General features: G+C 44.1%; 1 protein-coding gene and 2 pseudogenes across 1 annotated transcript in view; 1 reads left to right on the plus strand and 2 right to left on the minus strand.

Moving 5' to 3' along the window:
• The window catches only part of LAPTM4B (lysosomal protein transmembrane 4 beta), a 77,226-nt gene extending 71,075 nt beyond the window's left edge, over positions 1-6,151 (plus strand). Inside the window, exon 7 of the mRNA NM_018407.6 lies at positions 4,535-6,151. Coding sequence (NP_060877.4) covers positions 4,535-4,612 — 78 coding nt within the window. The 3' untranslated portion in view covers positions 4,613-6,151. The remainder of the gene's footprint in view (positions 1-4,534) is intronic.
• On the minus strand, positions 5,960-7,063 carry TMEM69P1 (TMEM69 pseudogene 1; annotated as a pseudogene).
• Positions 10,987-12,141, minus strand: SUMO2P18 (SUMO2 pseudogene 18; annotated as a pseudogene).

The raw sequence follows: 13,241 nt of genomic DNA on the forward strand, positions 1-13,241 counted from the left end.
TTCCCCAAATTATTAATGTCTTGTGGATTTTTGCCTAGTTGGAATCACTTTTATTCTAGGATGTCAGATTTTGCAACCTTTGATTTATTTCTCCCCCCAACTGTTCTATATGTTGATGTAGCTGAGAAGAATGAAGTTACCTCTGGTAACACTCTGAATCTTTGTTAAGTTGAATTGAAATGAATGATGAGTTTCTTTCCCACATGTTATGTAGGCTGTCACCTAGCATGACAACTTCAATAGAAGAGACATTATATATAGATAGAGAGCAGTCTTCCTAATGAACTTCTGAGGTCATTAGCAAGAGGGATTTTTCCTTTTGTGTGGAAGAGAGTTCCACTGTCATTCAGCCATTCCGTAGCTGAACTCATGTTAAAACCAACTGGAAGAAACTGAACTTAGATTAGAATTTGGTTGTATTAAGCATTGCTTGACCTAAAGCAGTCTGTGGTTGCGGTTTTAAACTCTTGAGTATGTTTATCTAGGTGCTCCTTGAGTAGCTGCTGCTTGTCAGGAAGTGACTTCAGAAATAGGACATGACCTATATTCTTAGTTCTCAGAGATTATTTTTGGTCATTCATTGTGAATGGTTAAGTTTTTAAAACAAAAAGAGTGGTTTTAACTAACACCAGCTTCCACAAATGTCAAAATAATAGAGTTGTCACCAGTTTTGTTCTATGGCATCTTGATGGGCACATCCCATGTTCATTGATCTCCTATAGTTATTTTCTCAGATTTTAGTATACTTGACTGATCCTTGTAGAAAAGAAAAATAGCAAGTGTTTGTAGTGAATATACTGCAGTAGAAACTGTGGCAATGCTTCCTTCACCAACCCTTCTAATAATATCAGCATCACTTAGATACAAAGATGATGCTGCCCCTACAAGGATTTAAAACTAGTCCCACGTGGAGAACCTTTGAAAGTAGTCCAAAGGCGTCATCTGGAGAATATTTTGCAATCAGTATTTAGTATGTGTTGAAGGAAAAGTGAAAACAAGGGAGGGTGTCAGAAACTTTAATGAAAGGAGAAATTCTTCTCCAGGCATCTTAAGCTTTGGATTAAGGGTCCAAGGCAATAGAATATTTGAAAGAAAAGACTATCAAGATATTAAAGTACTGGCTGGGCATGGTGGCTCATGCCTATAATCCCTGTACTTTGGGAGGCTGAGGCAGTCGGATCACCTGAGGGCAGAAGTTCTGGACCAGCCTGGCCAACGTGGCAAAACCCCATCACTACTAAAACTAAAAATTAGCCGGGTGTAGTGGCGCATGTCTGTAATCCCAGCTACTTGGGAGGCTGAGGCAGGAGAATCGCTTGAACCCAGGAGGTGGAGGTTGCACTCAGCCGAGATCGCGCCACTGCACTCCAGCCTGGGTGACAGAGCAAGACTCTCTCGAAACAAAACAAAACCAAAGATTTAAAATGTTGATTTAAAATGAAACTTTAAAACGAGTTTGAAGATGAATAATAAGAAATAGTGACAGACCGCCAAATGTAATGTGAAAGTTTTATTTTGACAAAAGGCAGATTTGCAGCACCATTTTTTTTTTCAAGAATATCTTATGTTAATCTTCTGTGAACATTTTGGAGATTTTGATTTGAATATTGTGTTTTGCCTAGAAAAAAAAATGGTGGGTGTGATAGCTGATTTTTACCTTTTAAGTAGCTCTACAGGTCGGCCACAGTGGCTCATGCCTGTAATCCCAACACTTTGGGAGGCTGAAGTGGGAGGATCACTTGAGGCCAAGAGTTCTACACCAGCCTGGGCAACGTGGCAAGACCCCATCTCTATGTTTTAAACATTTAAGTAACTCTACTGTGTTTTAGGATAATTTATCTAAAGATAAGTATATGAATCAGTTAATTGTTTAATGCAGTGGTGGGGCATTGTGGTGAAGCTCAGTCTTGCTAAAATTAATATTTCTGGTGCGGTCACAGCTGTTTCCACTTGTTATAAGTTGCTGTATCTAATGCACACACACGTATGTGCGCTGGGGGCTCAGTCCTAAAGTCAAATATGCACACGCAGAGAAGACAGCTGTTGCTTTGTTTTAGAGAATACTTTTTTCTTCCCGCAGCTCAAGCTGACACTTTTGGAATTGCTAGTGGAGATGCTGTTGTTAGATACTGGCTAGAACTTGTCAAGGTCGACCATGAGGCTCTCTTCATGTGCTGACCTGTGCCTATCTTTCCAACTTCATCTCTGCAACATTCTCCCTTCAGTGTTCACTGTAGCAAACACCTTGCAGTTCCCAGAAAGTGCCCTGTGTCCTGCTTTCCTCTTAACTCCCTACTGGAATGTCATCCTCTTTACTGCACACCTGGTCATCCTACTGAGAGGCCTTCCTTGACTCCCTAGCCTAAATTGGTTGTCCTTGTCTGTTCTTTCCTAACTTGTCTGCATCCACACATTGCTCATGTTGAGTTTTACCTGTGTCTGCCTTCTGCTAGATTGCAGGCCCCTGAACAGACAGTGACATGTTTTCAGGTTCAAGTCGCTGTGACTGAGTTCCCTGGACACCTAGGTGCTCAGTGGGTGCTGGTTTGTTGGACTTAGTTTCCTGCTGTGCTTCCTTACCTCAGGCATGTGTTCTGTACTGAGTGTATCTTGCCTACTCCATTCCTTTTCCACGTGGGCAACGCTGAACATTTGCCCCAGACTCTGTATCTTGGTTAATACCTGACATATAAAGTATTTAGCACATAGGCAAAGATCACTACCTCTTTCAGGAACAAAGGCCGGCTGGCGGGTGCGACTCTGGCGCATTGCCTTTGCCTGTGTGTTGCTGGCCAGTTATCGGCTTCTTGCATCACAGCTCCAGAGTCCCATTTAGCTTGACATGGGCTGGGCCTTGCAGATACTCCTCCTTCACCTCCTGACCCTGTTCAGCCAGGCCAGTAGGGGGCACTGGAGGAGGAAAGCCGCCACCCCCCCTCCTCCACCCCCCTGCCCGCCTGCCCGCCCCCGGTTCCTGTGTGTTTCTGCAGTGTTCAGATCTTGCTGGCAGTGCTCCCCAGGGCCCAGTGCGAGCGGAGACAGCGGTGGCAGCGCCTCTCAGGCGGTTTCCAGAGCGGGCCGTGGCTCCCGGGAACGGCTTCCCGCAGGTGATTCTGTGCACACTGGCCTCTACCTGGTTCAGCGGGAAGCCTCTCCACTGTCCAATGGGCTTCAGCCACACCCTCCCTAGCCGTGTCTCAGCCCAGCCTTGGGGACCTCTGTTCTAGCTTGTTCCGTCCCTGAGTGCCGTACTTCAATCTTCTTATCCATTAGTGCTCTTTCCCCGCCATGAGTCAGTTCCCGGTTCCTCAGTCTCCTGTTAATAATTCTTCATGAAACTATATTCACATCACTGTGTGGCTTCTGTGTTCTGACTGGACCCTAGCCAGTACAGGTGCCCTCTGCCTAGGCAGCTGAAGGAACCATACAGGCTTTTCGGGGGCCGGCCTAAGTGGCACCTCCGTCACTCCGCAAACATCTGAGTTCCTGCTGTCGGATAGGCACTGGCCCACCCTCGAGGAAGTGAGACCTGGCTTCAGCCCCACAGGAGCTCCAAGACTGGGAGGAGAGAAGTAATGAAGTGTGTAGAGCTGGAGAGGAGGGGTGTGTGTGTGTGTGTGTGTGTGTTTGGGAGAGTGCAATGTGACAAAAACTTAACAAAATTTTAGTGTGGTTCTAGTAGGAGCTAAAGGGACAGATAAATGAAAATTAACAAAATTGATGAATACCACTTTAAGCATAAGTGATATCCCTGATAGAAAATCTAACCAAGTGTGGTTTTGTTTGTGAATAGTCTTTCCCTTTCCACAAATCACTTGAGGTGGGTGAGGTTTTGTTTTGTCTTCTCATCTCTGAACTCCTAAAGGGCAGGGACTGTCTTTTGTCTCAATTATCTTATACTCACAATGACTATTACATACTAGATGCATAATAAATGTTAGTTTACTGAATGAAGGGTGATATAACTATTCTGTATTCCATTTTCTACTCCAAGAAAGCCGAAATCAGCCAGTGTATAGACCGCCAACTCTGAGGTATCCTTATTTCATAGACATGGAAACTGATGTTAAGGAACTTACCCAAGGCTACGCTGATAAAATGTGACTGACCCAGGCTTTGAATCCAGGCTGATACCAAAAGCTTGGCGTTTTCACTGCACTTTGCAGTTCTCACCATGAGTGGTTACTGTAGTCAATCAAGTGCCTGCCCTATTTGTGTGTGCACATGGACACACTCACCTAGGGGTCTTTTTTCCTCTTCAGAGCCATCACCATTTCTTTTAGAGTCACCGACCTCTGGCCATCCAGCTACACATGGACAGGGTTAGAAAAACTCAAGGCTTGAGAGTCGCTCTCCATTTGCTCCTTTAAGGATTCAAAAAGTCTTTTAATGAAGTGTATCCACTTGCTAGAAAATTGAACTTGGTACAAGTTGTGGAACATGTTTAGTTGCATAAAAGTTCAGTAAAAGCTAAACCTCGGGGAACGTGTGTGCTCTTCAAACATTAACTCTTGCCGTCCCTCTTTCTTCTCAGGTGCTGCTACCCCCGTATGATGATGCCACTGTGAATGGTGCTGCCAAGGAGCCACCGCCACCTTACGTGTCTGCCTAAGCCTTCAAGTGGGCGGAGCTGAGGGCAGCAGCTTGACTTTGCAGACATCTGAGCAATAGTTCTGTTATTTCACTTTTGCCATGAGCCTCTCTGAGCTTGTTTGTTGCTGAAATGCTACTTTTTAAAATTTAGATGTTAGATTGAAAACTGTAGTTTTCAACATATGCTTTGCTGGAACACTGTGATAGATTAACTGTAGAATTCTTCCTGTACGATTGGGGATATAATGGGCTTCACTAACCTTCCCTAGGCATTGAAACTTCCCCCAAATCTGATGGACCTAGAAGTCTGCTTTTGTACCTGCTGGGCCCCAAAGTTGGGCATTTTTCTCTCTGTTCCCTCTCTTTTGAAAATGTAAAATAAAACCAAAAATAGACAACTTTTTCTTCAGCCATTCCAGCATAGAGAACAAAACCTTATGGAAACAGGAATGTCAATTGTGTAATCATTGTTCTAATTAGGTAAATAGAAGTCCTTATGTATGTGTTACAAGAATTTCCCCCACAACATCCTTTATGACTGAAGTTCAATGACAGTTTGTGTTTGGTGGTAAAGGATTTTCTCCATGGCCTGAATTAAGACCATTAGAAAGCACCAGGCCGTGGGAGCAGTGACCATCTGCTGACTGTTCTTGTGGATCTTGTGTCCAGGGACATGGGGTGACATGCCTCGTATGTGTTAGAGGGTGGAATGGATGTGTTTGGCGCTGCATGGGATCTGGTGCCCCTCTTCTCCTGGATTCACATCCCCACCCAGGGCCCGCTTTTACTAAGTGTTCTGCCCTAGATTGGTTCAAGGAGGTCATCCAACTGACTTTATCAAGTGGAATTGGGATATATTTGATATACTTCTGCCTAACAACATGGAAAAGGGTTTTCTTTTCCCTGCAAGCTACATCCTACTGCTTTGAACTTCCAAGTATGTCTAGTCACCTTTTAAAATGTAAACATTTTCAGAAAAATGAGGATTGCCTTCCTTGTATGCGCTTTTTACCTTGACTACCTGAATTGCAAGGGATTTTTATATATTCATATGTTACAAAGTCAGCAACTCTCCTGTTGGTTCATTATTGAATGTGCTGTAAATTAAGTTGTTTGCAATTAAAACAAGGTTTGCCCACATCCAAGATGACCTTGTGATTTTGTGCTGATTGTGTCTGAGGACCTTTCCCTCCACATATGGTCTGGCAGATGCACCCAGTTCAGCCTAAGGAGTAGGCTTTTTTTTGGGGGGGGGAGGTCGGGTGGGGGGGATTTTTAATCTTTTAATTTTCAAGATGGTTAAAATATTGAAATGTTTAAGTGGATAACTATATTATTCATAAAATGACTGAGTGAAAACTAATACACTATGAGATGAAAAGTACTTGTCAGGGATTTTCAAGCTTTTGCTCAAGTAATTACTATGAAATAACAATTTCTAGAAATGAAGAACAATCCGTGGAGAATAAATTACCATTGGTGTGGGGGAAAAAAGCCAAACAGAAGTAGAAAAAGGTGTAGCCGGCATACAAATGTTATCTACAGTGTATTTTTAGATTTTTTATACTTGACCAGGTCTCTTATGTCCTTTTTCTGGAAAACTGTTTTTAACTACTAAAGTGATTATAAATGAAAAAGTGGCCAGTAAAGTGACTACTATCTTCAGGGCTTTAAACCAGTTGGGATAATGTGGTAAGAGAAAAAGTTGAAGGTGTAATGCTACCCGCATACCCATTATTACTGTGACTATGGCTTCACTAAGTCTTTCAGAAATAAGAAGGCAAACCATGAAAAGAAAAGAGGAGCTGTACTGCTAGCTAAATTAAGGTAGTCTGGTTTGGCTGGACTACCTTCTGGTAGAGCAAAACCGCATCTGATCCCACCCAAGAAAGATGGAAACTGGCTCCATAAGCCATCTGAGTAAAAGCTAATATGGGAATATAAGTTTTTGTCATCAGCATGACCAGTGGTGGGGCAACGAAGGGGATTAGTCCTGCCAGAGTTACATATAATGCTGGCTTTGGGCTGTCAGTTAGGTAAGTGATGGTGCTTGGTGGCCTGGCTGGAAGTGCTTGCTTCTGCTTCTTTTTAAAGCTGCAGGGGGATGTATGATAGCACTGTGTCTTGCTCATATGCACTGGAAATGATGAGGAAAGCCAAGGCCTTGGAAATGGGGAAAAGTTCTGGAGAGACATCTTGAGAGAAAGTATATTTGTTCTGCTGGTTCTTAGTCCCACTGGGAAAGAGTACTTCAGCATCTTTGAAGATGCTTGAGAAAACTTCTGGATGAAGCGAAGCATACTGGGCCCTATTGAAAGTCTTGTTCAGGAAGATGCCAGGCAGTTCTGATTAACATGTTGTTACAGCTAAGCGGAGACACTGAATCAGGGGCATGTTTCCTTGGTGCCTCCCATCCCAACCTGCACCTGTGGCGACTTTGAGACTTTCCAGCATTGCACGGAGAGCAGGAGTAGGCTTTATGGCTTGTTTTACACACAGTGTTTTTAATATCCCAGTCCTGATAAAATCAGCGTTTTAGGCCAAGAGGAATGGGGGACAAACAGACTCGAGCTTCCAACATTCCTAACCATGCATTCAGTTGTTTTGCATATGGTTGCTTTATGTCCATTGTGTACTTTTAATAAGCAGTTAAGATTTTTGCTACATTCCAAGGGTGATTAAGAGAGGAAGGAAGGGGGATTTTTATCCCAAAGAATCAGTTATTTCTTTTGGTGTATCTCATTGGCATTCTTTATAAACTCTACCTAAGTAATTCTGTTTCTTGAAGCTTTATGTCTAGAAGACTGACACAAAGTTAAACACATGGGTTACTAGAAATGGAGAGGGCACCAGGGGCAGTGGCTCATGCCTATAATCCCAGCACCTTGGAAGAAGGAGACAGGAGGATCGCTTGAGCTCAGAAGTTAGAGACCAGCCTGGGCAACATAGTGAGACTTCATCTCTGTGCAAAATTTAAAAATTAGCTGGGCACGATGGCATGTGCCTGTGGTCCCAGCTACTCAGGAGGCTGAGATGGAAAGATAACTTGAGCCCAGGAGGTTGAGGCTGCAGTGAACTGTGGCCGTGATTATGCTACTTGCACTTCAGCCTGAAGGACAGACTGAGACACTGTCTTGAAACAAAAAGAATGGAAAAGCCCTATCAGATAGTTTCATGATCCCTGGGGAAGGGACATAGGAAATCACAGTTAATTGCATGTTGTTCCCCATGATTTTATAGCTCTTTGCCTAATCATTTTTGCAGTATGAAAAATGATACATGGTCAGGCCAGGCACAGTGGCTCATGGCTATAATCCCAACACTTTGGGAGGCCAAAGTGGGTGGATCATCTGAGGTCAGGCGTTCGAGACCAGCCCAGCTGGCCAGCATGGGAAAAGCCCATTTCTACTAAAGACACAAAAATTATCTGGGCATGGTGGTGCACATCTGTAATCTCAGCTACTTGGGAGGCTGAGGCAGGAGAATAATTTGAGCCCAGGAGGTAGAGGTTGCAGTGAGCTGAGATTGCACCACTGCACTCCAGCTTGGGCAACAGAGCCAGACTCCATCTCAGGAAAAAAAAAAAAAAAAAGATGCATGGTCAAATGGAAGGAAGTGCTGATTTTGAGAGTCATAGGGTTCTTGGAGAGAAAACAAGACTGCTGATCTCGTTCATGCAGCACTCAAATAGCATCACAGACTCTTGAGATATCCCTTCGTTCTCAGAGATCCCATATAGTGCTGGTGATGCTGGCTTTTCCTGACTTGTTGCATAACCCAGGCTAAGGTCAAGAGCTGCCTCCATATTTACTTCTGCAAAGTAAGAAATTGTTCCCTTCTTGTCTCCACTATGGGAAGGGTGTGATGTTGGATTAAAATGACCTAGCAGAGCACATTATGTGCCTTAGCAGTTCACTGTATCTTTTTGTCTCATTGCTAATCCAGATAAATGCCTCACTTTTCAATGTATTTCAAATCCATTTTGATATCTAGCCGCTTTCTCCTATTTTGTTGTCCACAGAGAAACAAGCAGTTATTCCTGCAGTTTTTCAAGTCTGTTTGCTGGGGTAGAAGGAAGAGGAAAACATACACACCCTTTGACTTAAATTGTGGTCTGTCCACCCTAGAAACAGCTTCCGTTGAACAAGCTAGTCAGATTTCCAGGATGCCAACTTATGTAAAAGAGGCTTAAGGCCAATAGTCCCTCTCCTTCCTGCACCCTCTTCCTACATGAATACTACATGCGGCAGCTCCTCCAGAGTCTGATATCCTTGTTCCTGCCCCCTTCCTTTCCATCCTCAAGAATGCAAGAAATGGCCAGGCGCGGTGACTCACACCTGTAATCTCAGCACTTTAGGAGGCCGAGGTAGGCGAATCATTTGAGGTCAGGAGTTTGAGACCAGCCTGGCCAACATGGTGAAACCTGTCTCTACTAAAAATAGAAAAATTAGCTGGGCGTGGTGGCACGCACCTGCAATCCCAGCTACTCGGGAGGCTGAGGCATGAGAATCACTTCAGCCAGGGAGGCTGAAGTTGCAGTGAGCCAAGATTGTGCCACTTCACTCCAGCCTGGGCTCGAACAAATAGAAAGGAAAGGAAAGGAGGGAGGGAGGGAGGGAGGGAAAGAAACTTCCCCTACTCTGAGCCTTTTTGCCCCCTCCCCGTTTTTTATGGGGGGGGGAGGAGGAGGAGGGGGGAAAGAAGAAGAGAGAGAGAAAGAAAAGGGAGAGAGGGAGGGAAAAGGAAGAAAGAAATTTCTCCTACTCCAAGCCTTTCCAAGCCTTTCCGCCCCCTTCCTATTTTTTACTCTACCCCTAAACATATTTGTGTAGTTTGACTGCTTAACCAAACCACATCTCATTCCATTTGTCTTTCCTCTACCCTCAGTTCATTAACCAACAATACTGATTATGGATGATCTCAATAGACCATCTGTATAAACTGTAACCATTAAAGTTTTCTCCATAGAGGGATGTATTGTATTTGAAGTATTCATCATTTGAGGAAAATCTTGCTGTGCGAAGTGAGCATTTTTTTGTGACAGAGGAAAACTAATGAGACTATAGAAACATGTACTTTCTGTCTTTGTTTTTTATAGATGTGTTTAGGTTTTACAGCCAGTCTGGAAACTGACTTAAATATCATTAAACTGCATTGGTGCTGGTCATGTGGGCAGTCTGGAGTTCTGGAGGGGACAGAGCAGGTGTCTTTGCCAAGGTGTTGAAAGAGCAACTCATGCAAAAGAACTGCCAGCAGAAAGTGCAGGCTAAGGCTTTTCAAGGCTCCCCCTTCAGGCCTAACAAACACCAAAAATAGTGCCCATGGCCCATATAAAAGGGGCGTTTGGCAGCTCAGATACATGTTTTAAAGGGGAAGGAAAAAGAAGGCATTACAAGGATGTCTCCACACCCATGGAATCACTTAAAGTGTTTCTGCACACTGGCCAAGTTTTCTGCTAAATGGCTCATAGTGTATGGAAACCAGCCAGATCTGCAACCTTCTGCCCAGAAGCCCATGCAGGCCTTCTGCCAACTAGAGTACTAAGACAGCAGGCGAGAAGCTGTCGGTTGGCCAACCCAGAAAAAGTTAGTCTTAGCACCATATACCCATCTATGTGACCCTTACCAGCAAGAGCAGCTGCTGCTGTAGAATGAAGAATTTGGCTTAAAACAGCACAACAGACTCAAGTTTTGTTTTATTCCACCTAAAACTTAGATATGCTTTAAAAACAACAACAACAACAAAAAAGTTTATTTAAACAAGATGCTTGGCTTGAAGGGAAAACGAAAACTATCTAGGATTCTTTTTTTTAGAGTAATTTATCCCTACTTAAAGACAGATTGCCCTACATGTAACAGCTACATACAAGAAAGTTATAAAATTGTCATTGGTTTTACAATTAAAATTCTCCAGTTGAACAAGGTATGCAGGATTTTTGTGTTTTTGTTGTTTAAACAAGAACAAAATAACTTGCAGGAATATAAAGAGTTGAATGAGCATGCCACAGTGGAGAAAGGGTATTTTCACAGAAACAATATTTTTCCCCATCCCATTTCCACTTGATGTCAATCAAAACATAGCGGCTGTTCAGTTTTTAAAAAACGCAACAGGTGGGACGTGGTGTCTCATGCCCATAATGCCCGCACTTTGGGAGGTGGGTGGATCACTTGAGCTTGGGAGTTCGAGACTAGCTTAGGCAATATGACGAAACCTTGTCTCTACAAAAAGTACAAAAAAATTTAGCCGGTTATGGTGGACAGCCTTTAGTCCCAGCTACTCAGGAGCCTGAGCTGGGAGAATTGCTTGAGCCTTGGAGGTGGAGGTTGCAGTGAGCTAAGATTGTGCCATTGCACTCCAGCCTGGGTGACAGAGTGAGACCCTGTCTCAAAAAGAAAAAAATGAACGTGCTTGTGCACACGTAGCAATTACTTCATGTACAGTAAAGGAATGGGGAAGGGGGAAATGAAGGAATAGAGAAACCTATACTGTAGTAGTCAGGATGTGGTGGAACCACATTGCAGTTTCCTAATTGGGAATATAATCTTGGTCTCTAAGAACAGAGTTCTGGAGTAAAGAAGCAGGTTCCCTTTCCAGTAGACACCTCCTGTCTGCTGCTGCAACACATCAATTGTATCTTCATCCTCCTTTTCCAACTGTGCAAGTGTGTCTGTTTCACTGGTGCCTATCAAATTGGAGTCTGATCTGCCTCATTGACAAACCCTGTCCTTCACAATAGGCTCCCGTTAGTTTACTAAGGTGTATGCCTCTTTCCTTTTTGTTTTCTGTTTTTTGGGGTGTTTTTTTTTTTTTTTTGAGACAGATTCTCTATCACCCAGGATGGAATGCAGTGGCACGATCTCAGCTCGTTGCAACCTCCGCCTCCCAGGTTTAGGCGATTCTCGTGCCTCAGCCTTCCGAGTAGCTGGGATTACAGATGCGCACCACCACGCCCGGCTAATTTTTGTATTTTTAGTAGAGACAGGGTTTCGCCATGTTGGCCAGGCTTGTCTCGAACTCCTGGCCTCAAGTGAACTGGCCACTTTGGCCTCCCAAAGTGCTGGGATTATAGCATGAGAAACTGCACCTGGCCTAGTTTACTAAGTGGTGTATGCCTCTTAAACTGCACCACAGGCCAAGTGCAGTGTTTTTTTTGTTTGTTTGTTTTTGTTTTTTGAGACAGAGTCTTGCCCTGTCACCCAGGCTGGAGTGCAATGGCACAATCTAGGCTCACTGCAACCTCCACCTCCCAGGTTCAAGCGATTCTCCTGCCTCAGCTTCCTGAGTAGCTGGGATTACAGGCACCTGCTATCACACCTGGCTAATTTTTGTATTTTTAGTAGAGATGGGGTTTCACCATGCTGGCCAGGCTGGTCTCGAACTGCTGACGTCAGATGATCCGTCCGCCTTGGCCTCCCAAAGTGCTGGGATTACAGGCATGAGCCACCACGCCCGGCCCTGTCTTGACTCTTTCCTTGGGCTTTTCGTTGGCCATGGCCAGCATCTCCTCAGCTGCTGTTTCACAAAAGAGGTATCAGGTCTGCACCAAACCAGGAGCAGCAGAAGTAGATACAGCTTGTTTTGTTTGTTTGTTTTTTTGAGCTGGAGTCTGCTGTGTCTCCAGGCTGGCGTGCAGTGACATGATCTCAGCTCACTGCAACCTCTGCCTCCCAGGTTCAAGCAATTCTCCTGTCTCAGCCCCCTGAGTAGCTGAGAGTACAGGCATGCGCCACCACGCCCAGCTAATTTTTGTATTTTTAGTAGAGACGAAGCTTCACTATGTTGGCCAGGATGGTCTTGATCTCTTGACCTCATGATCCACCTGCCTTGGCCTCCCAAAGTGCTGGGATTACAGTGAGCCTGGCCTTTTTTTTTTTTTTTTTTAATCATTATAATAGTGTAAACACAATTTTTATTAAGATGGAAACCTCTTAACCCAGGAAATAAAAATTATATATCCCTTGATGTATGTCAACATGTAGCAGGTATATTTCTTCAATAGAGCAAAGGTAGTTTTGTGAGGAACTGTGATTAAGGGTAGGATGCACATAGTTCACCAGCAATGAGGGTTGGAGCCGCGTTTCTCTAAGGAAAGGCTAGGATTGAGTGTGGCATCATCTTGGCTGCTACTTACTAGTCACAGGTCTGGGCTGCGGTGTCTCAGCCCCTGCTATCCAAGTGACACGTTCCAATTTCTGGGCTCCTAGATGGGGATGTCCAAGCTAGGCCTACTCAGGGGCAGATGAGTCTTCACCTGTGCCTAAGGAAAGCCCTGGCTCTGGGAAGACAAGGAGCAATGGGTCTGCTGTCTGTGACCAGCAACAGCATAAAGGACCGTGTTGTCTCATGTGGCAGGGACGCCCCTTGCACCCAGTGTGGTGGCCTTTGTGTGATATCCATTTTATTCATTTTAACTAAAGGAATGTATTTCTTTTCTTTTCTCTTTTTTTTTTTTTTTTAATTCAGAGACAGGATCTCACTAAATTGCCCAGGCTGGTCTTGAACTCCTTGGCTCAAGTGATCCTCTGCCTCGGCCTGTTGGGATTATAGGCATGAGCCACCATACCTGGCCAAGGAATGTATTTCAAATTACTCTTTTTCTCTATTTTACTTCACAGGGTGTTCCTTGACTTGTTTTTAACTGTAGGTCT

This window comes from Homo sapiens, chromosome 8 (assembly GCF_000001405.40).
Source record: "Homo sapiens chromosome 8, GRCh38.p14 Primary Assembly".
NCBI classification, from domain to species: Eukaryota; Metazoa; Chordata; class Mammalia; order Primates; family Hominidae; genus Homo; species Homo sapiens.